This window comes from Homo sapiens, chromosome 7 (genome assembly GCF_000001405.40).
Source record: "Homo sapiens chromosome 7, GRCh38.p14 Primary Assembly".
NCBI classification, from domain to species: Eukaryota; Metazoa; Chordata; class Mammalia; order Primates; family Hominidae; genus Homo; species Homo sapiens.
Window position 1 is genome coordinate 73,065,529 of NC_000007.14, and position 23,872 is coordinate 73,089,400.

At 46.3% G+C, this 23,872-nt stretch overlaps 1 protein-coding gene and 1 pseudogene across 2 annotated transcripts; one reads left to right on the forward strand and one right to left on the reverse strand.

The window, feature by feature from the left end:
* Nucleotides 1-11,825, forward strand: PMS2P14 (PMS1 homolog 2, mismatch repair system component pseudogene 14; annotated as a pseudogene).
* Nucleotides 10,444-20,510, reverse strand: SPDYE9 (speedy/RINGO cell cycle regulator family member E9). 2 transcript variants are annotated; one of them, NM_001382554.3, is made up of 8 exons: nucleotides 20,389-20,510; nucleotides 18,581-19,163; nucleotides 17,360-17,578; nucleotides 16,268-16,326; nucleotides 14,955-15,040; nucleotides 13,006-13,249; nucleotides 12,779-12,883; nucleotides 10,444-11,925 (listed from the first exon to the last, which is right to left on the reverse strand). In NM_001382554.3, the coding sequence occupies exons 2-7, from the start codon at nucleotides 18,708-18,710 to the stop codon at nucleotides 12,824-12,826; spliced, it is 798 nt and encodes a 265-aa protein (NP_001369483.1). In that variant the 5' UTR covers nucleotides 18,711-19,163; nucleotides 20,389-20,510; the 3' UTR covers nucleotides 10,444-11,925; nucleotides 12,779-12,823. The 2 variants fall into 2 exon arrangements, with proteins under 2 accessions (NP_001369483.1, XP_047276664.1); XM_047420708.1 differs by lacking the exons at nucleotides 10,444-11,925; nucleotides 20,389-20,510 and having other exon boundaries at nucleotides 12,243-12,883.
* Nucleotides 20,511-23,872: the final 3,362 nt, after the last annotated feature.

The window sequence follows — 23,872 nt, forward strand, 5'->3', positions numbered from 1 at the left end:
AGTACAGAACCTGCTAAGGCCATCAAACCTATTGATCGGAAGTCAGTCCATCAGATTTGCTCTGGGCCGGTGGTACTGAGTCTAAGCACTGCGGTGAAGAAGATAGTAGGAAACAGTCTGGATGCTGGTGCCACTAATATTGGTAAGTTTGGGAGAGTTTTAAGCCACAAGAAATGATCAGTGAATGTTGTTGTAGTCAAGAAACATTTGTTATTGAAATAAGACTATCAAGTGTTGATGTAGTAATAAACTATTATTTTTAAGTTAAAGTTAGCACCTATTATGTGCCTAGTACTTAGCTAGGTAGTAATAATAATAACGACAGCTTTTCTTGTGTTCTTATGGTGTGCCAGGCAGGTGTTATGCTAAGAATTGCACAGAAATATCTCATTTAATTTGCAGAATAGCTGGGCGTGGTGTCTGACGCCTGTAATCCTAGCCCTTTGAGAGGCTGAGGTGGGGGGATTGCTTGAAGCCAAGAGTTCAAGACCAACCTGGCCAACATGGGGAGACCTCGTCTCTATTAAAAAATAAAGCAGGCCGGGTGTGGTGGCTCACGCCTGTAATCCCAGCACTTTGGGAGGCCAAGGCGGGTGGATACCTGAGGTCAGGAATTCGAGACCAGCCTGTCCAAAATGGTGAAACTCTGTCTCTACTAAAAATACAAAAATTAGCCAGACCTGGTGGCAGAAGCCTGTAATCCCAGCTACTGGGGAGGCTCAGGAATGAGAATTGTTTAAATTTGGGAGGTGGAGGTTGCAGTGAACCGAGATTGTGCCACTGCACGCCAGCCTGGGGACAGAGCAAGACTCTGTCTCAAAAAAATAAAATAAAATAAAATAAAATAAATCCTGGAGTAGTGGCTCACATCTGTAATCCCAGCACTTTGGGAGGCTGAGGGGGGCTGATGCTTTGAGGTCAGGAGTTCAAGACCAGCCTAACCAACGTGGTAAAACCCTGTCTCTACTAAAAATACAAAAATTAGCCAGATGTGATGGTGCATGGCTGTAATCTCAGCTCCTCAGAAGGCTGAGGGAGGAGAATTGCTTAAACCTGGGAGGTGGAGGTTGCAGTGAGCCAAGATCGATTGTGCCACTGCATTCCAGCCTGGGTGACAAGAGCAAAAGTCCATCTCAAAAAATTAAAAAAAAAAAAAAAAAAAGGAAAGAAAAAAAAGAAAATGACAAAATTAAAAAAAAATTATTAATCTGCCAAATAACTTTATGAGATAGAACTTATTACCTCCATTTTACAGTTGAGGAAATTAAGGGACAGTAAATTTCCTTTTTTTGAGATTATAAAGCTAATAAAATAGAATCTAGGAAGTCTGATTCCAGAACCAGTTCTGTTTTTTTTTCTTTTTTTTTTTTTTGAGATAGAGTTTTGCTCTTGTTGCCGAGGCTGCGGTGCAATGGCACGATCTCAACTCACTGCAACCTCCACCTCCCAGGTTCAAGCGATTCTCCTGCCTCAGCCTCACAAGTAGCTGGGATTACAGGCATGCACCACCACGCCTGGCTAATTTTGTATTTTTAGTAGAGATAGAGTTTCTCTACGTTGGTCAGGCTGGTCTCGAACTACTGACCTCAGGTGATCCGCTCGCTTTGGTCTCCCAAAGTGCTGGGATTACAGGCATGAACCACTGCGCCCGGCCCCCGTTCTCCTTACTGGGTATGTTAAAATTATTTCTTTCAAAGGAAAAGGCTGGTCAAAGTGCAACGGTCTTTACAACTAATTGATCACAACCAGTTACAGATTTTTTTGTTCCTTCTCCACTCCAACTGCTTCACTTGACTAGTGTAAGGAAAAAAAAAAAAAAAAGAGGAAAGAAAGAAAATGCTAAACTATTTAATCTGGGCTAGTAAATGGCCAGAAAGAACTTTATAAAAATGAAATATACAAAATGACACTAGTATGTTTAACTAAAGGTATAGTTACGACACTTAAATTTGCACGTTATAAATAATATCAATATAAAAACTGATAGCGTGGGTCCATTTTTAATAAATATATAAATATTTTAAACTTTCTAGATCTAAAGCTTAAGGACTATGGAATGGATCTCATTGAAGTTTCAGGCAATGGATGTGGGGTAGAAGAAGAAAACTTCGAAGGCTTAAGTAAGTTAACTTTCTAATCCTATTACAAAATAATTGGGCCACATGTCTTAGAATTTTGAGTAACACTGTCTTGGGAAACACAAAAACAGTTTTTTAAAGCCAGTTACTAGATATCATGTATATTTGTTGTTATAGCACTTGAGATATCTTAGTCCTTACTTTACAGTCTCTTTCAGCTCTGAAACATCACACATCTAAGATTCGAGAGTTTGCCGACCTAACTCGGGTTGAAACTTTTGGCTTTCGGGGGAAAGCTCTGAGCTCACTTTGTGCACTGAGGTGAGAAAATATTTTTATCCATTCACTTGACCCCTTAGAAAAACCTCTCTGAAAATTAATTGGAATCATTATTATTTACAATTTTCTATCTCAATATCTCAGCTTCTAGCTTCTGAATTCTGTTTTGTCTCACTGCCAATCTAAGTCCTAGTACTTCTGAAATGTGAGCAATAAATGAATGAAATGAAGCAAATAGTATTGTTTAAAAAATTGGTTACCCTTATTAAAACAGTAACTTCTCAATTTGAACATAACATATAGATAATAAATGATAGTTACCATTGGTTTTCATTATCAATTTTTAGGGAAACATTTCACCAAAGCACTATTTAATTACAGCACAGATACTAAATTTTTATAAATAATTACATGCACACACACATATATATACATATATATACATATATATACATATATATACATGTATATACATATATATACATATATACATATATATACATATATACATATATACATATATATATATATACATATATATATACATATATATACATATATACATATATACATATATATATACATATATACATATATACATATATATACACATATATACATATATACATATATATACATATATATACATATATATACATATATATATACATATATATATACATATATATATACATATATATATACGTATATATATATACATATATATACATATATATATATATATATTTTTTTTTTTTTTTAGACAGAGTCGCACTCTGTCACCCAGGCTGGAGTGCAGTGGCACAGTCTCAGCTCACTGCAGTCTCTGCCTCCCAGGTTCAAGTGACTTTCGTGACTCAGCCTCCTGAAGAGCTGGGACTATAGCGTGCACCACCACTCCTGGCTAATTTTTGTATTTTTAGTAGAGATGGGGTTTTGCCATGTTGCCCAGGCTGGTCTGGAACTCCAGGCCTCAAGTGATCTGCCCTCCTTGGCCTCCCAAAGTGCTGGAATTACAGGCACGAGCCACCGCACCCTGCCCTACATATACATTTTAATTATAATATCTTTTGGATTCTTTAAAAAAAATTTTAAAAATTTTAAAAAATTCTTTAAAAAAATTCTTTTAAAAAATTTTGTTTGAAGAGTAATAACAAAACAAATCTCTATTTGAGAATCAATAAATCTTGAGATCATTTATGGTTTTGCAATTCAACCTGAAAAATGAAGTCAAAGCTTTTATCAAAACAAAGCATGTTTAGTGCTCTCTGTCTCACTGTCTTTTAGATGCCAGACCTTAGATTTTGTGATGACTCCTCAACCGTTTAGATCTCGGTTATCTCAGAGGGATCATCAGCTTTTTAAGAAAATTTTGAGAGAAAAGCAAGTGAAGAAAAGAGTAGTCAGTGCCCAACATCATGGATCTCTCACTGAACACACCATGCCTGGTATTCTCTCACAGTGATGTCACCATTTCTACCTGCCACGTATCGGCGAAGGTTGGGACTCGACTGGTGTTTGATCACGATGGGAAAATCATCCAGAAAACCCCCTACCCCCACCCCAGAGGGACCACAGTCAGCGTGAAGCAGTTATTTTCTACGCTACCTGTGCGCCATAAGGAATTTCAAAGGAATATTAAGAAGGTACAGTAAATTAATCCTGGTTTTCAAGAGTATTGGTTAATGCACGTGAGCAAAAGATTTACTAAAGATGTTTATTCTTCAGTTGATTCTCTTCCCATAATTTATTGAGAAATGCTTTATTTGCATTTCTCATTAAAGACTTAACTTCAGGATGATTTACTTTTTTCTTTTTATCACATAATGTTTATTAGGACTGGGAAACATAGTGAGACTCTGTCTCTATGAAAAATTAAAAAAAAAATTGACTGGGCATGGTGGCATGCACCTGTAGTTCCAGCTACTTGGGAGGCTGAAGTGGGAGGATCACCTGAGCCCAGGAACTTGAGACTGCAGTGAGCTATGATTGCGTCACTACACTTCAGACTGTGAGACAGAGTAAGACCCTGTCTGGAAAAATATATATACATATATATACATTTTTTTTATTTTTTATTTTTATCTTTTTTTGAGATGGAGTCTCACTTTGGCGCCCTGGCTGCAGTGCAGTGGCGCGATCTCAGTTCACTGCAACCTCCACCTGCCAAGTTCAAGCGATTCTCCTGCTTCAGCCTTCTGAGTAGCTACCATTACAGGCGCGCGCCACCACGCCCGGCTAATTTTTGTATTTTCAGTGGAGACGGGGTTCCACCATGTTGTCCAGGCTGGCCAGGCTGGTCTTGAATTCCTGCCCTCAGGTGATCCGCCCACCTCGGCCTCTCAAAGTGCTGGGATTACAGGCGTGAGCCACCATGCCTGACCTTATGTACTTATATTTTTATGAGAATATTTCTCTTGGTTTTCTGATAAATGAGTTACTGGAACCCTTATGAATTTGAATGCAAATGAAACAGCTAAATGTTATATAATTGTTGTGTTTAAAAAGCAGATTATAAAACTGTCTGTATTATATGATTACAGTTTTATAAAAACAAAACAGGCCTAAATGTGTATAGTATAAAGACTGAAGAGTCAGCACTTCCATGTTCTCAGCGGTTATCCTTGGATGTGAGATCTCATGCACTTTTTGCTCTCTTCTTTGTGCCTTTCCATTTTGCATGCGTATTTCTTATAATCTAAAAAGTTACTTAAACATATGCAGCTAAAAACTTTTTTTACTTGTAAAGCGTTTGGTGCTAATTTTAACTTTTTTTTTTAGACGGAGTCTTCTCACTCTGTCGCCCAGGCTGGAGTGCAGTGGTGTGATCTTGGCTCACTGCAACCTCCGCCTCCTGGGTTCAAGTGATTCTCCTACCTCAGCCTCCCAAGTAGCTGGGATTATAGGTGTGTGTCACCACACCCAGCTAATTTTTGTATTTTTAGTAGAGATGGGGTTTCACCATGTTGGCCAGGCTGGTCTTGCACCCCTGACCTCAAGTGATCTGCCCACCTCAGCCTCCCAAAGTGCTGGGATTACAGGCGTGAGCCACCACGCCTGGCTTTTTTTTTTAAAGCTTTTTTGTAAGTCAGCCAGCAAGAACACAGGAGGAAGTACTCAAATCTCCCTTACACAGCTGGGGGCTGTGTCAGGTTTTATAAGCATAGGGTAATGAGGTGTGATTTGATTGGATCTTGCAATAAAGTAATGCTGGGAGGTGTGATCTGACTGGATCCTGCCATGGGGTGACACCAAAACTCAATCTGATTGGATCCTGGCTCCTGCCTGGGGGTGTCTGGTTCTTAAATCGGTCCGAGCTCTTCAGGCTGAGCTCTTAGGTTCCACTCCACGGTGGCACGCGTGGTTAACCTGGGCATGCACAGGGTACATGACCTTCAACCTGCAGGTCGATGGCAATTGGAAAACAACTGACAACTTCATTACATAAAAGTTGAACTGATTCGGGTGCGGTGACTCACGCCTGTAATCCCAGCACTTTGGGAGGCCAAGGCAGGTGGATCACCTGAGGTCGAGGAGTTCAAGACCAGCCTGGCCAAAATGGTGAAACCCCGTCTCTACTAAAAATATAAATATTAGCCAGGCGTGGTGGCGCACCCTTGTAATCCCAGCTACCCCAGAGGCTGAGGCAGCAGAATGCTTGAACCTAGGACGTGGAGGTTGCAGTGAGCTGAGATCGTGCCATTGCACTCCAGCCTGGGTGACAAGAGTGAAACTCCATCAAAAAAAAAAAAAGTTGAACTAGATTTGGTCTGATGCAGTTACAGATTTACAAACCGCGTCCCACCCTCCTGCCAACACCTTCCACTCCTCATTCTTGAGGGATTAGGGATGGAGGTCATGCTTCTGTATCGACTTCATGCTGACCAGGGGCACTTAGTCCCCTAAAGTGAGAGGAATGAAACTCTTGGGCTTCTGAGTTCAGATGAGTTCTGGGGTCACCCGGAGTAGCTTGAAAGGCTGGTATTGTTGTAATACAAGCTGAAGGTGGAAGTGTTGGATCCTGGAGGACAAACAGCTCACCATCCATTTAAATAAATAGGACCAAAAAGTAACAGAACAGTGGCCACGAGGGGCCCCAACAGAGGAAGAAACCAGGTGAGGTGTGGTATAGTGGACTCGACTGCCTTCTAAATCTCAGTGGTTGTCCGGGTGCGGTGGCTCACGCCTGTAATTCCAGCAAAAGAAGAGCCGAGGCAGGGTGATCACGAGGTCAGGAGTTCAAGACCAGCCGGGCAAACATGGTGAAACCCCGTCTCTACTGAAAATACAAAAATTAGCCAGGTGTGGTGGCGTGTGCTGTAGTCCCAGCTACTAGGGAGGCTGAGGCAGGAGAATTGCTTGAACCTGGGAGGCGGAGGTTGCAGTGAGCCGAGATTGTGCCACTGCACTCCAGCCTAGGTAACAGAGCAGGACCCCATCTCAGTCAATCAATCAATCTCAGTGGTTGAACTACCCTTGATATGGTTCAGCTCTGTATCCCCAACCAAATCTCATGTCCAATTGCAATTCCCAGTGTTGAGGGAGGGACCTGGTGGGAGATGATTGGCTCATGGCGGCTGACGTCCCCCTTGCTGGTCTCGTGATAGTGAGTGAGCGCTCATGGGATCTGGTTGTTTAGAAGCATGCAGCACCTCCTGCTTCACTCTCTCTGTCTCTCCTGCTCCACCATGGCCAGAAACGTGCCTGCTTCCCCTTCGCCTTCTGCCGTGATTGTCAGTTTCTTGAGGGCTCCCCAGCCATGCTTCCTGTACAGCCTGCAAAACTGTGAGTCAATTAAACCTCTTTTCTTCATAAATTCCCCAGTTTCCAGTAGTTCTTTATAGCAGTGTGAAAACAGACTAATGGACCCTTCTGGTTGAAGGAATGTAGCCATTCTGCTTGTTTAAGTATTTCCTTTCTATTCATCTCTATTTCCCGGGAGGTGTTTATCCAAGTGCAATAGGAGATATTGGTGACTGCAGAGTCCCCTCAGTGTTCTGCTAGTAAATAGTTGAAGGTTGATCAGTGATCTCCAGCATTTTCAGTCTGGCATGGAAAAGCCCCCATGTAACTGGTAAAGGTATCAGTAAGCACCAGGAGGTATCTAAATCCACCAGGAGCCATAGGCATCATGTTGATGTCCATTTACCAGTCTTCCCTGGCAAGATTCTCTGAATTGTACTGCCTTGGCCAAAAGAGGTATGGGAGGGGCTGGGCACAGTGGCTCACGCCTGTAATCCCAGCATTTTGGGAGACCAATTCGGGTAGATCATTAGAGGTCAGGGGTTCAAGACCATCCTGGCCAACATGGTGACATTCCATCTCTACTAAAAATACAAAAAGTCAGCGGGGTTTGGTGTTGGGTGCCTGTAATCCCAGCTACTCGGGAGGCTGAGGCAGGATAATCACTTGAACCTGGGAGGAGGAGGAGGTGGCAGTGAGCTGAGATCTCGCCATTGCACTCCAGCCTGGGCAACAAGAGCGAAACTTCATCTCAAAAAATAAAAAAAGAAGTCTGGGTGTGGTGGCTCGTGCCTGTAATCCCAGGACTTTGGGAGGCCAAGATGGGTGGATCATGAGGTCAGGAGTTCAAGACCAGCCTGGCCTAGATGGTGAAACCCTGTCTCGAGTGAAAATACAAATATTAGCTGGGCATGGTGGCACACACCTGTAATCTCAGCTACTCAGAAGTCTGAGACAGAAGAATTGCCAAAACCCGGGAGGGAGAGGTTGCAGTGAGCCGAGATCGCGCCACTGCACTCTAGCCTGGGCGACAGAGCAAGACTCCGTCTCGAAAGAAAGAAAGAGAAAGGAAATTCCCCAGGGAAGTACCTCGGCTTATTTCATGAAGAGGTACTGAAGGAAGCAGAGGCATGTGGAGGACTTCCCCACCTCGTGCAGCTATTTGGGCCGTGGCGTCTGAAATTTCTTATTTCAGAGTCACCCCTTTGATGACCTTGGCAGTGGACTGCAGTCATCTGTTTAGGCCTCTCCATGGCCCGTGTCAATGCCGATATTTCTGTCTGTTGCACATTTGATTTCCTTGTTGTTGGCATTTAGAAGGCCCCCTGTTTCCCAGATCACACCACGGGCATGGACCGCAGAGATTGCATCTTGTGAGTCTGTAGAAACAGTCAAGGCCTTGTCCTCTCTTAGGTCCAGAGCTCAGGTGAATGCAGATTTTCCCGGCCATCTGTGCTGAAGTCCCTGTGGGGAGGCTCCTGGCTGGTTTCCTGTAGGTAGACAGCTACACATCCTGCCCTTCATTGGCTTCTTTTCATGAAGCTCCTGCTGTCTACAAAACATGTCTCCCTTTTCTTCTTGAACCACATCTCTGTTATTGAAACTCTAGAAGTCAGCCAGGCACAGTGGCTATGCCTGTAATCCCAGCACTTTGGGAGGCCAAGGTGGGTGGATCACCTGAGGTCAGGAGTTCAAGACCAGCCTGGCCAACATGGCGAAACCCTGTCTCTAATACAAATACTAAAATTAGCCAAGCATGGTGGCCACTGCACTCCAGCCTGGGTGACAGAGCAAGACTCTGTCTCAAATAAAGAAAGAGAAAGTATCATGCTTTTCAGAGTTCTGTGGGTTGTTATGGTGAATTATCAAACCTGAGGACGTGGTGGGAACCTCCAAATTTGCAGCCAGTTGGTGAGAAGTACATGCGGTCTGTGGACACCCAAGCTTGCAGCTGCATCTGAAGCGAGGGCAGCCTAGCGGGGGCTGGTGGCCTTAACCTGTGGCATTTGATGTAACATCAGGGAGTTGACATCAGAATTACGTCACACAGGCCAGGTGCAGTGGCTCATGCTTATAATCCCAGCAATTAGAAAGGCAAGATAAGAAGATTGCTTGAGCTTGAGTCTGAGCCCACAGTGAGCTATGACCGCACCACTGCACCCCAGTCTGGGTGACAGCACAAGACCCCGACTCCAAAAATAAAAAAGAAAAATCACAAAGAATTGCATGGCAGAGTGCCTGTCTTTCACAGCTTGAACTGTTGCAGGAACTTTCTTTTTTTTTTTTTCTTTTGTGATGGAGTCTCGCGCTTTCACCCAGGCTGGAGTGCAGTGGCGCGATCTCTGCTCACTGCAGGCTCCGCCTCCTGGGTTCACACCATTCTCCTGCCTCAGCCTCCGGAGTAGCTGGGACTACAGGCGCCTGCCACCGCGCCCAGCTAATTTTTTGTATTTTTAGCAGAGATGGGGTTTCACCGTATTAGCCAGGATGGTCTTGATCTCCTGACCTCATGATCCACCCACCTCAGCCTCCCAAAGTGCTGGGATTACAGTCCTGAGCCACCGCGCCTGGACTTTTTTTTTTTTTTTTGAGAGGGGTTGGGGAGACATATTCTCTGCTAGTGATTCTCCTGCCTGGTCTCGAACTCCTGCTGGGATCACAGGCGTGAGCCACCACGCCCAGCCACCTTTAGAGTTTTCTTACCACCTGGTTTTCCTCTCTCAATATCTTTCTCTCATTTCCTGCTTTAAAACTCTAGCTTGGGGTCTGGGCACAGTAGCTCATGCCTATAATCCCAGCACTTTGGGAGACTGAGGCGGGTGGATCACTTGAGGTCAGGAGTTTGAGACCAGCCTGGCCAACATGGTGAAACCTTGTCTCTACTATTTTTACAAAAGTTAGTCAGACGTACAGGCGGATGCCTGTAGTCCCAGCTACTTGGGAGGCTGAGGCAGGAGAATTTGCTTGAACGCGGAGGTGAAAGTTGCAGGGAGCCGAGGTTGTGCCACTGCACTCCAGCCTGGGAGACAGAGCGAGACTGTCTCCAAAACAAACAAACAAACAAACAAACAAAAAAACCCTGTAGCTTGGGATCAGCCTTCTCTTCTGTTGTTTTTCTTTAAAAAATAAAAATTAAAAATAGGCTTCAAGTGATCCTCCCGCCATGACCTCCAAAACTGCTGGGATTGTAGGTGTGAGCACTGCACCCAGCCGTATGTTTTTTTCTACATAAAAAACAGCACAGGATTATCTTCCAAAGCTAATAAATATGTTCAAATAACCACAACCCCATTAAGGAAAAATGTCACTTGACAGCAAATAATCAATCCAGACCACAATATGATCACACTCACTGTGAAGGTGAGAAAAGTTCATCTTTATTATGTTTCCCCAAGAGATGCACTGCACTGTTCTCTTGAAAACACACAGCTCATGTCCTCCTTTAGAACACACATCCTCTTTAAAGTAACATACAAACATGCCAAAACAAGATAAAAAATTCCATCTGAATTCTCACATTTCAAACATACACTAAATATCAAATAAAAATTTATTTTTACAAGAATTTAGGGGAACTACCACATAGCTATAAATGTAATATATATGTTAACTAAGTATCATAGATAAAAACCATGCTCCCTTCAGCAGCACGTGTAATAATAGATACAAAGATTGAAAGGTAAAAGATTTAGGATGAAAAGAATCCTCTCTTAAAAAGGAAAACAAAATTATATGTATGTGTATACAACAGTTATAATACCCATCACACAGCTTTATAGAAACAGCATCTATTCAAAAATACCAGTATTTCCAAAATATTTAAAATAATATTTAAAGTAATAATAATATTTAAATAAATAAATATATTTAATAAATATTTCAGTAAATAAAATAATATTTAAATAATTCTATACCCATGTTTTTCAAAATAAACCAATAAAATAGATAGTATATATTAGACGTGTTAGTATATATATCTGAGACATGTTAAAAATCACAACTGAATTCTCACAAGTCAGTCACAAACCTAAACAGCAAATAAAAATTTCTATCACCAGAATTATGTTTTTTTCTGGTGGGGAACTACCAATAGCTATAAATAGAAGAGATTATTATGGAAGTATCATAGATAAAAAGAGTGCTCGCTTCAGGAGCACATATAATAATACAGAAAAAAAATTAAAGATAATAAAAGATTTAGGATAAAAAGAATTCTCACTTAAAAATGAAAAGAAAATTATCTTTAGGTATATATAACAACTATAACTCTCATCAAAAAACTCTACAGGAACAGCATGTTTTCAAAAGTACAACAATTTCCAAACTATTTGAAATAAACCTATTAATAATTCAATGGCCAACATTTTCCAAACAAACCAATAAAATGCATAGTGTGCATGAAGCTATCTGTTACAGTCTGTGGCACTCATATTTCACAAAGAATTCTGTGCCAATCTGAGCCCCTGCACTGTGCCTTCAAATGCTCCTGGACTGTGACAACCAAGTCCATAAGAAACAGGACCTCCAGGTTCCGCCCCAGGGAGGTTGGCATTCAGCAATATAAAAAGGGAGGTGGTGCCGCAGGAAAGGGTGGAACTGGAAACACTCCTGGTTTCTTACTTTTCTCCAAGGACTCCTAGAAGTACCCCACCCCACCCCTGCTCCTTGGAGGACAACGTGATCACTGTATTCAGCTCTGTCAAGAATGGTCCAGGTTCTTCTAGATGATCTGCACAAATGGTTCCTCTCCTCCTTCCTGATGTCTGCCATTAGCATTGGAATAAAGTTCCTGCTGAAAATCCACATCTCCCCTGGGTCCGGTGTTCTGGAAGTGAGAGAGACAATGTCACACTTCAAGGAGGCAGCTCTCTAGACAGGAAGGTTATTCACGTCCCATGTCAAGTCTAGCTAGAGTTCAGAGCAATTGAGAAGTGCAATTTTATCTCCTGCCTTTCATTCTATACCCTGCTTCTGAACCATCGTGTTCAACTGTGAAACTCACACTTTGGTGACCCTGACTCCAAAACTTAATACACCCAAGGTCAGCCCCAGTGATCTGCTTCATAGCCAGGACTTTGGGTGGGTCTTCCCAGGGAGTAGGGCACCCTCAGAGAATGTGGCTTTGGACTTCATCACAGCTGGGGCCTTTTGTGTCACTTCAGATCTAAACTTGTAACCGTGCTAGATCTGTTTCTAACGTGACAACATCACGAACCACGAGTCCAGAAGCCTAATCCATAATCCTCCCTCCTCATGACGAAGTCTCATGCTCTGTGCTCAACATGGTTAGCTGCACAAGATGTAAACCAAAGCTTCACTGAACCCTCGACCCAAATCGGTAACTCAAGTGCATCAATCATAATGAACCTCCCCGAACTCAGTATTTATGATTATTTTTGAGGCAGGGTCTCACTCTGTCGCCCGGGCTGGAGTGCAGTGGCAGGATCAGGGCTCCCTGCAGCCCCGACCTCCCAGGCTCCAGCGATCCTCCCGCCTCAGCCTCCTGAGTAGTTGGGAGTAGAGATGCCTCCCACATCGCCTGGCTAATTTTTGTATTTTTGTGGAGAGGGGATCTCGCCACGTTGCCCAGGCTTGAAGCCAGATCAAGCAATTGGGTTCCTTGGATTTCCGAAATAGACCCCAATATTCTGCCTTTACCCCGGAGGATGCAGATGTACCTTCTCTCAGGCCGATGACCTCAGGCCTCCACGGTCCCTGGAGCTCTAGGAAAGGTGGGCGCGATCTCGCGCCCACACCCAGTGCTCTGGGTCATAAGCCTGGATCTGGAAAAACAAACGCGCTTTGAGAAGACGGGGACTCCCCAGGATACCCCTCTCTCCCCTCGTCCAGCCTCCAGCCCACCCGATTCCTCCCCACATCCTCCACGTCCCCAGGCCCCACCCACCTCTTCCAACTCCTCCAGGGAAACCCAAGCCCTGCAGCGCATGGAACAAAAGAAGTGGAACCGATACTTCCGGAACAAGGCTATCTGAGAGCAGTTCTTCCTGGCCCTCGGGTTCATGTAACGGCATAACTGGAACCAAAGCTCACTGAGCAAGGGTATATGAGAGCGGGTCTCCTCGTACAGGAAGTAGAAGATGTTTTGTTTGGGGGCCTCGTCGTCCTCCTCCATGTCATTGGCCAGATAGCTGAGGACAGAAATCAGGTTGCTGCTCAGGGGCACCACCAGGAGAGACCTCCGGCTGAGGTCAGCTTCTCAGAGAGGAAGGTAAGGGACCGTCCCTAGCTCAGGACTGGCACCCACCCTGCAGAGAGCCACGCCTTCCTCAGGAGGGCTCTGCTGGACAGAGACCTGATCAAGGGCGTCTCCCACTCCTTCAGGATGGAGACAAAAACCCAACTGGTGACCAAGAGTGGTGGCTTATGCCTGGAATCCCAGCACACTGGGAGGCCGAAGCAGGAGGATCACTTGAGGCCAGGAGTTTGAGACAGGCCTGGGCAACATAGCAAGACCCTCGTCTCTATTAAAAATATAAAAAATACGCCAGACGTGGTGGCTCATGCCTGTAATCCCAGCGCTTTGGAAGGCTGAAGCAGGTGGATTGCTTGAGACCAGGAGTTTGAGACCAGCCTGGTCAACACAGAGAAACCCCATCTATACTAAAAATACAAAAATCAGCCTGGTGCGGTGGCACACCCATTAGTCCTAGCTACTCAGGAGGCTGAAGCATAAGAATTGTGTGAACCCAGGAGGCGGAGGTTGCAGTGAGCCAAGATTGGGCCCCTCCATTCCAGCCTGAGAGACACAGCAACACTCTTGTCTTGATAAATAAATAAATAAATAAATAACTGTCCAGGTGTGGTGGTACAGCCCTGTAGTCGGAGCTAATCAAGAGGCTGAGGTGGGAGGATCGCTTGAGCCCAGGATATGGAGGCTGCGGTGAGCTATGATCTCACCACTGCACTCCAGCTTAGGGGACAGGGCAAGTCTGTCTCAAAAAAAAAAAAAAAGCAATTGAATACACTGATATTTTGCCAGGACCCTGCCTTCTACAGGCATCTAGTCTAATGGGACTGGGAGTAATCAGGGGAGATGACCTAATCCCAATGTCACATTATAATAGGATGTAACTGGAGAGCTACGGGCATGCAGAAGTTGGAAGACGAGGGAAGGCATCACAGAGGCTGTGGGGTGAACCGACTTCAAGGAATGGGTCCTTCCCTTCAGAACCACATGTGTGCGGGACACCCAGACAGAAAACACAAATGCAAAGTCAAGTGGAGGGCATTTGGAAGGAGCAGTGAAGCCAAGCCAGGAAACACCAAGATGGCGAGCCAGTGTGGTTGTAGAGATTGTAGAGAGGGTGGAATTGGCACTGTGGACCCTGGCCTCGATAGAGAAAGACATCAGCTAAGGAAGTTGTTCAGGTGGGCAGTGAGGTTGTCGTGCTTTGGAAAGATGTTCAGGCTGCACTAGGAAGCCCCCTGGCTTGGGGAGAGACTCCAGGAAACCCCAGCAGGGAGCATTTGACAGTGGATTCGAGTGATGCAAGGGGGACCTGGACTGTGACCTCTGTCACGGGAACCCGGAGGAGGCTGATGGCTTTTGCGGTTGATGTGGGAAGGAGAGAGAACAACCGGAAACGTCTGCTTGCTGGGGGAAGTGTCATGTCCGCTCCTCCGCTCCTTTTCTTCTCCCCTTAGGAGCGGTTCATGGTTCCTTTTGTTTTTTGTTCTTTTTTTTTTTTTTTTTTGAGACTATAATCCTGTCTTTTTTGTACACAGAGTAAAGAGGACAAATAGGTGAAAGAATAAATGAAAGGCTGGAATCCCACTTCCCCCGCTGTCCCAGGGCATTGGATATTGACGGATAGGAGGCAGCAAACCACTCACAGAGCCAGGAAGAAATGAATGCGTTGGTATTGCCAGGAGGGGAGGCCGGCCCGGCTGAAATACGCTATGACCATAGCCAGGAGATACTGATGGAGAGAAAGGAACACAGAGAGGGAGAGGTCACATCTTGGGAGAGGAAGATTGTGGATATAGTGGAATGGGGGTCTGGGGAGGGGTTGCCCATCAGAGAAGGGACCTCAGTGTTGGGGTGACTGTGCTCATGTGGAAATTGCGGGGTGGAGGGGTATTCGAAGGTCGGATGCAAATCCGAGAAGCCGGAGGAAGGGTTTTTGGTGATGCTCCCAGGATGGTGGGCTCCGATGGGATCTTTGGAGGGGGTGTGTCTAGGTCGGCTGGTGTCAGGAGGGTCTTTTGTGTGCCAGGCAGAGAACTGTCCCAAGGAGCTGAGAGTAGAGGGCCCAGGAGCTTCAGGGCTGCAGCCAGACTGTGGCCCAGGGCTCAGATCCCAAAGGACCCATAGGAGAGGCAGGGGCCACTCATTCACTCTGCAAGAGACCAGCAGAATCCTGACGGAGATGCTGACAAATCATAAAAAGACAAAGAATAGCCGGGAGTGGCAGCTCAAGCCTGTGATCCCAGTACTTTTTGAGAGGTGGAGACAGGAGGATCATGTGAGCCCAACAGTTGGAGAACAACCTGGGCAACACAGCGAGACCCTGTTTCTAAGAAGATTTCAAAAATTAGTTGAGCATGGTAGCATGTGCCTAGTCCCAGCTCCTCAGGAGGCTAAGGAAAGAGGATTGCTTGAGCCCAGGAATTAGAGTGAGCTATGATCATGCCACTGTACTCCATCCTGGGGAGCAGAGCTGGACTCTGTCTCAGAAAAAAAAATGTGTGGGTGCCAAGACTCAAGACCATGGGAGCTGGTCAGACACAGTGCTGACGTCTGTAATCTCAGCACTTTGGGAGGCCAAGGCGGGTGGATCACCTGAGGTCAGGTGTTCGGGACCAATCTGGCCAACATGGCAAAACCCCGTCTCTACTAAAAACACAAAAATTAGCCAGGCGTGGTGGTTCATGTTTGTAATCCCAGCTGCTTGGAGGCTGAGGTGGGAGAATCGCTTGAACCCAGGAGGCATCAGCTGCAGTGAGTCAAGATCGAGACACTGCCCTCCAGCCTGGGCAGCAGAGCAAGACTGTGTCTCACAAAAAAAAACAAAAACAAAAACAAAAAAAAACTGTAGGAGCATCTGGTGGGAGGTGGTGGACGGAGAACTGTGGGTTTGGAAGCTGCGCCCTCCCCCTGGCCGTGCGTTAGAACAGGAACACAGTTACATAGAGAACAACCTTACCTTGTCCGACACCCTCAGATCTTTGTCCCAGGCCAGGAGTCTTTTAATGACAGGATCCTCTGTGATTAGAGAGCAGATGTCAGTGTGAGAAGCAGGACAGGGTTTCCGTGAGAGCAGCAGGGCAGCGAGGAGAAGTGTGCCTCCCGGGGGAAAGTCTCAGGATTGTGGCCGCGGGTGAGGTGGATGAGAGAGGGGAGAATGACTTTCACTGGGCAAGGGAGAGAGGCTCCTGCTCTGAGACTCCCCTGAGAAGAGGCCGAAGGAGGCCCTGGGTGTGAGAATCTACAGGATGTAGAGCTGGGAATCAGCCAGGACCCCCTCCAGCAGACACGGAGGGACCACTGCAGAGTCATAAAGGAATTCCCATCATTTCCTCATGAGACAGTCACACATCAGGGTGTGACCATGGCCTTGGGATCCCCCACTATGGATGGAGACACTTAGGTTTAGCAAAGTCAGTAAGAAACATTAAGTTTCAGAGGGCACAGCTGAAACCACTTTTTTGATTTTTGATTTTGTTTTTCTTTATTTGATTTTTATTTTTATTTATTTATTAATTTATTTTGAGACAGAGTCTTGCTCTGTGGGCCAGGCTGGAATGCATTGGCCTGATCTTGGCTCACTGCAACCTCTGCCTCCTGGGTTTAAGCAGTTCTCCTGTCTCAGCCTCCCGAGTAGCTGGAACTACAGGGATGAGCTACTGTGCCCAGCCTTGGTTTTTCTTTTGACGCAGAGTTTTGCTCTGTCACCCAGGCTGGAGTGCAGTGGTGCAGTCATAGCTCACTGCAGCCTCAAAGTCCTGAGTTCAAGCAATCCTCTTGCCTCAGCCTCCCAACGTGCTGGGATCTCAGGCGGGAGCCACAGCGCCTGGCCCAAAACCAAGCTTTCTTATCCCAAGCACCGACCTTTATCAAGTCTACCTAATCCTCTGTTGTCTCCTTAAGTGTCCCTCATGAGTGATCACTTCAGAGTCCTCCCGCATGGAGAGCTCACCCACTGGGGCATATTTTTCCCATTGGAAAAGTGTGGTTATTGGAAGTTTCCTCTTTAGAAAGAACAGGATTGGAGGTGCTCTCTGGGGTGTCCTCCTACCAAGCAGCCTGTTGAAGGCCTCGTAGTACTCAGGGAGCACGAGCGACACTCGCCGTCGCTTCGCCTTCATCTTGAGGCCACACAGCGTCTCCGCCACCCAGGTCTCCTCAGGCTCAGGGGCGAGCTCCTTCTCTGGCTCATCATCAGATTCATCCAAACATTCCCTCTTCCTTTTCCAGCCAAGGGACCTACGTGGGGGGCTGGGATCTACCCCAGGGGCTGAGTAAAGAAACCAGGCCACCGTGTAATGCTTCTGCAACTGATCACGTTAGACCCCGACCCCAAACCCCAAACCACTCTCCATCCTCCCCAGCCTCGCAGACTGCTGGCTTCTCCAAGCCACCTTTCTGACTTTCTCCTCTGCTCAACCCCATGTGCCACTCCTTCCCCTCCCCATTCTTCCCTCTCTCTGTCCTCAGAACACTGCCTCATATCCTTCCCTGGTCCCTGGCTCTCTGAGTCCCTCTTTTTTTTTTTTTTTTTTTTGTTTCGAGACAGAATCTTGCTTTGTCACCCAGGCTGGAGTGTAGTGGTGCAATCTCAGCTCACTGCAACATGCATCTCCCGGATTCCAGTTATTCTCCTGCCTCAGCCTCTCAGGTAGCTGGGATTACAGGTGCCTGCCATAATGCCCAGCTCCATTTTGTACTTTTAATAGAGACAGGGTTTCACCATGTTGGCCAGGCTGGTCTCAAACTCCTGGCCTCAAGTGATCCGCCTGCCTTGGCTTCCCAAAGTGCTGGGATTACAAGTGTGAGCCACTGCACCCAGCCTGAATTTCTCCATTCTTCCCACACACCCTCCCCAGGTTCTCCTTCCTGACCTCTGACCCTTCTTTTTTTTCTTCTTTTTTTTTTTTTTTTTTTTTTTTTTTTTTTTTTTGAGATAGCATCTCACTCTGTCACCCAGACTGGAGTGCAGTAGCACGATCTCGGCTCACTGCAACCTCTTCCTCCCAGGCTCAAGTGATTCTCCTGTCTTAGCCTCCCAAGTAGCTGGGATTATAGGCACACACCACTACCGCCTGGCTAATTTTTGTACTTTTAGTAGAGATGGGGTTTCACCATGTTGGCCAGGCTGGTCTTGAACTCCTGACCTCAGGTGATCTGCCCGCCTCAGCCTCCCAAAGTGTTGGGGTTACAGGGGTGAGCCACCACGCCTGGCCCCCTTCCTTCATCTTAGTCAATCCTATGCCACCTCTTCTTCCTCCAGTCCCCTCACCTGATGGTCCCGACACTTCATCATCCACCACCTCCTGGAGGGGGTACCCTGAGGTGCTCCGCTGGGGGCTCCGCTCTTCCTGGGGCTGCGGTTGATGGCTCATCATGATCTTTCCCAAAATCTGTCCCATCTCACCAAACCTAGTCTCTGTTCTGTCCTTGGTCTTCTTCTGGACACTGCTGGGATCCAGAAGAGTGTGTTATCAATTCTCGAGGCTGGGAGAAGTCAGGAGTGGAGAACAGCTCTGAGAAGTTACTGTTGTCCAACTGAACTCCCAGGTGCCGACAGAGTCCGGTCCCTCCAATCAGGAAGGTCGGAATCTCTGATGTCATCGCTCATGCCAACCTGGCAACCAGTTTGAAAAAAAACACATGTAACTGCCAGGCTGATCTCTTGTCCTGGAGATCCTGGGTGAATGGTATCTCCTGCCACTGTCCCAACCTCAGACCACTGTCCAAAAGCATCTTCAGGGTCTCCGCATCCCTCTGTTCCCTGTCCCAGCAGAGGCTGTGTCCTCTCCACTCAAAGCTTGAAGCGTGTTGGGGTCTCCTCTTCTCTGTACATGCCCGTTTCAGAGTCCAGTCTGGTGGGAGAGGGATCAGGATGGGAAAGAAAAGTAGGGTAAGCAGAAACGATGAAACCTTACAAGAGTGAGATTATCATGTACAAGAGATCCCAGGAACATTGACTTGATGAAAAAGTCACATCAGAGCACTCAATTTGGCAGAGGTTTTCTGCCGAGTGTCTACTGACATTCACTGTCCGAGATTCTGTACTGGGGGTACACGCGTCCTCTGCCCTAAGGCATCTTTGAGTCCAAGAGATATTTTGAGGACTGGAAATCATAGGAAACTGCCCATGAGTTCACACATATTTCCAATGGTGTCCCCAATTTCAGGGAGTCCACGGATCACCTAAAGCCAGCCCCTCCAGTTTGGCTAAGAAACTCTATATATCAAGTTTTGTATCATATGTATTGCTCTTAACTCAGAAAATTCCACCATTTATAGCAGTGGTTTATTTATTTATACCATTGAAGGAAATGGTTTATTTATGAATCTATATTATGGATATTCTATAAGATACTGGGTGTACAAAAAGACTAAGTCGAAAAATCTCAGCTGTGCACAGTGGCTCATGCTTGTAATCCCATCTCTTTGGGTGGCCAAGGGAGGAAGACTGCCTGAGGCCAGCAGTTCAAGACCAGTATAGGCAACATAGCAAGAGCCCATCTCTAAAACAAAACAAAACAAAACAAAACAAAATTAGCCAGGTGTCGTGGCTGGCACCTGTGTTCCAACAACTTGAGAGACTGAGGTGGCAGGAGGATTGCTTGAGCCTAGGAGTTAGGGGCTGCAGTGAGCTGTGATCGTGACACCGCACTCCAGTCTGGGCAACACAGCAAGACCTTGTGTCAAAAAAATTTTTTTAATTAAATATAAAAGAGTTTCATGACATTCAGAGACCATCCAAAGAACCTGTGGGTTCCGGCCAGGCACAGTGGCTCACGCCTGTAATCCCAGCGCTTTGGGAGGCCATAGCAGGTGGATCGCTTGAGGTCAGGAGTTTAAGAGCAGCCTGGCCAACATGGTGAAACCCCATCTCTTCTAAAAATACAAAAAATTAGTCAGGCATGGTGGTGGGTGCCTGTAATCCCAGCCACTCAGGAGGCGGGGACAGCAGAATGGCTTAAACTTGGGAGGCGGAGGTTGCAGTGAGCCAAGGTCACACCATTGCACTCCAGCCTGGGCAACAAGAGCAAAACTACATCTCAAAAAAAAAAAAAAAACAAAAAAAACAAAAAGAACCTGTGGATGAGTTCCCACATGGCTTCCTAACGGGCTGCGGCTCTCCTAGGAGTCTCTCGCTCATGGGAAAGGCACAAACTGAATGCGGAAGGAAATCCCATTGCTGTGGAAGTCCCATTGTTAGGAAGCTCTGCTTTTCTGGAGTTCAAATTTGCATTCATGACGCTTTAAACCGTCAGAGCTGGGTGTGTCCTCCTACAACAAATCACTTTACTCTCTCTCCTGGTTAACAGGCTTTCAAATATTAGAACATCCATGTTCTGACCTCATTAAAATTGCTCTTTTGTGGAATGAAAAGCTCTGATTTAACCCGTCTTTAAGCCTGGTATGCATATTCCTCTCTGTTCCGGCCACCTTGTCTAGACACACTACACTGAGGCAGTGCCCATCTTAGATGATGTTGATACATTGTCAAAAAATGGGCAAACCAGGTGCGGCGGCTCACACTTGTAATCCCAGCACTTTTGGAAGCTGATGCCGACAGATAACCAGAGGTGAGGAGGTTGAGATCAGCCTGGCCAACATGGTGAAACCTGTCTGTTTTTCTGTAAAAATACAGAAACAATGAGCTGGGCGTGGGAGTGCACTTCTGTAATCCCAGCTACTTGTGGGGCTGAGGCAGGAGAATCACTTGAACCGGGAAGGTGGAGGTTCCAGTGAGCCGAGATCACGACACTACACTCCAGCCTGGGCGACAGAGTGAGACTCCGACTCAAAAAAAAAAAAAAAAAAAGTGCCAGACAGCCCAGGTTTGGTCTGATATGTTCAGAAAAAAGCAAAACAGTCACCTCTCACCTTTTCTTTTCCTGCAATGATGCCGTTTAATACAACAATGGCTGTAGGTCTGCGGCAGAAATATCATTCAAGTGAAACAGAAGGGCTTTCCTGGCTGGACACAGTGGTCACTCCTGCAATCCCAACACTTTGGTTGGCTAAGGTGGGAGGATTTCTTGCGGCCAGGAGTTCGAGGCTGCAGTGAGCTGTGATCCACCACTGCATTCCAGGCTGGGCATCAGAGTGAGGCCTGTCTCTAAAAAAACCCTTCACTCCCCAAAAAAAGGGATTTTCAAATACCAGCCTTTCAGCATGAGGATCACATGGAGGAACATTAAGACACAGATGCTGGGACCCAGCCCTATTGATTGTAATTAAAAAACTGAGGTGAGGCCTGATTTAGCTCCATCATTGGAATCCATTCAGATTTGAAATTCTCTGAGTTGGACAGTGCAAGAGAGATCCTAAAGAAAGCAAAGTCACTGTGGACTGAAATGAGCTGGCAAGGTTTTCTGAGCGTGGTGAAATATGATCTGGGCCTCGCTTGGGAGGGCTGTGGCCAGGCCTTGAGTCCGTGGCTCAGTGGGACCTTCTGAAACAGCCTCCAATCCGTGCCCCCACTTCATTTGCTAGTGGATGACCCCCTCCAGCGGCTTTGGTGCTGATGGGAATAAGTCAACCTGCAGCGGAAGTTCAGCCCAAGTTTCAGCCCAGCAGCTTCTACACACCTGTCCGTGGTCTGGTCATGCTGCCATCTCTGCGGTTCTCTGCGGTTCTCTGCGGAGTCGTGGTTTCTGTACCTTGAAGAGAACTTCCCCTCTGGGACCCAGAAACCCAGTGAATCCTCAGGAAAAAAGGGAATGAAATTACTGAAGACAACTCTGTGGCGGGGAGATGGAAAAGAGGCTCTCTCTCTTTTTTTTTCCTAATATTTTGAGACAGAGTTTCGCTCTTGTCACCCAGGCTGCAGTGCAGTGGCTCCATCTCGGCTCACTGCAACCTCTGCCTCCCAGGTTCAAGCGATTCTCCTGCCTCAGCCTCCCGAGTAGCTGAGATTACAGGCACCCACCACCACTCCCGGCTAATTTTTGTATTTTAGGGTTTCGTCATGTTTGCCAGGCTGGTCTTGAACACCTGACTTCAAATGATCCACCCGCCTCTGCCTCTCAAAGTGCTGGGAATACAGGCATAAGACACTGCACCCGGCCTGTTTTTGTTTTTTAGAGACAAGGTCTCTGTTGCCTTGGCTGGGGTGCAGTGGTACAATCAGCTCTCTGTTGCCTCGGCTGGGGTGCAGTGGTACAATCAGCTCTCTGTTGCCTCCTGGGCTCAAGCAATCCTCTTCTCTCAGCCTCCCAAGTAGCTGAGACTACAGGTGCATGCCTGTAGTAGATATAGCATCTTGCTCTGTTGCCCAGACTGGTCTTGAACTCTTGGTCACAAGCGATCCTCTTGCCTTGGCCTCTCAAAGTGCTGGAATTACACGCGTGAGCCATTGAGCCCAACCAGATAAGATGATCTTTAAGGGCCCTTCCCATGGCACCATAATCCAAGTCAGCGAGACTGTGGCTATAGCAAGTTTAACATAACCAGATACGCTAGTATTATGGGCTGCATGGTGTGCCCCCCACCCCTAATTCATGTATTGAAGCCATGACCCTCCAGACCTTAGAGGTGACCTTATTGGAACCAGAGTCTTTACAGAGGTGATCAAGTTAAAATGAGGTCACTAGAGGCCAGGCACTGTGGCTCACACCTGTAATCCCAGCACTTCGGGAGGCCGAGGCAGGCAGATAATGAGCCCAAGAGACCGAGACCATGATGTCCAACATGGTGAAACCCTGTCTCTACTAAAAATACAAAAATTAGCCAGGCGTGGTGGTGTGGGCCTGTAGTCCCAGCTACTCAGGAGGCTGAGGCAAGAGAATCGCTTGAACCCGGAAGGCAGAGATTGCAGTCAGCCAAGATCATGCCACTACACTCCAGCCTGGGTGACAGAGTGAGACTCTATCTCAAAAAAATAAAAATTAAAAAACTAAAAACCTACAGTACCGCCTTTTACATAATGCAATGGTTTGGTAAGCACATGCACCCCAGGGAGGTAGTGGCAGATTCAGTCAACCTTCCCAGCAGCGTGGAGACGCAGTCAGGCATAGCAGGTGTTGATGTGGTTTGAACCCACAGCTTGGCTCAAATCCACACTCCCCTACTTAGTACCGAGTGAAGCCACTTACCCTCTAAGTGCCTTACTTTTCTTTTCTTTTCTTTTTTCTTTTTTCGAGACAGAGTCTCGCTCTGTCACCCAGGCTGGAGTGCAGTGGCATGATCTTGGCTCACTGCAAACTTCGCCTTCCAGGTTCAAGCAATTCTCCTGCCTCAGCCTCCCAAGTAGCTGGGATTACAGGCGCCCACCACCATGCCGGGCTAATATTTGTATTTTTGATAGAGATGGGGTTTCACCATATTGCCCAGGCTGGTCTCGAACTCCTGACCTCAAGTGATCTGTCTGCCTCGGCCTCCCAAAGTACTAGGATTAGAGGCATGAGCCACCACACCTGGCCACTTTTCTTATCTATATTTGTTATGTGGATGACTTGTGTTAACGCAAATAAGATGCTGCTCGTCATCTTTAAAGAAAATAGGTGGCAACCTGTTATAGCAAGTCCTGTTTTTATTTGTACTTATGAGGCTTTAATTAAACGCTAAGAAT

What these genes read in the sequence shown, in the direction of transcription:
- SPDYE9 (NM_001382554.3), bottom strand. Translation starts at nt 18,710, where the DNA reads ATGGGACAGATTTTGGGAAAGATCATGATGAGCCATCAACCGCAGCCC. An exon ending in GGCCTTCAACAGGCTGCTTG is followed by an intron (nt 16,327 to 17,359) that starts GTAGGAGGACAC and finishes CTCTAATCACAG; the next exon opens with AGGATCCTGTCATTAAAAGA. An exon ending in ATCTGAGGGTGTCGGACAAG is followed by an intron (nt 15,041 to 16,267) that starts GTAAGGTTGTTC and finishes TCTCTCCATCAG; the next exon opens with TATCTCCTGGCTATGGTCAT.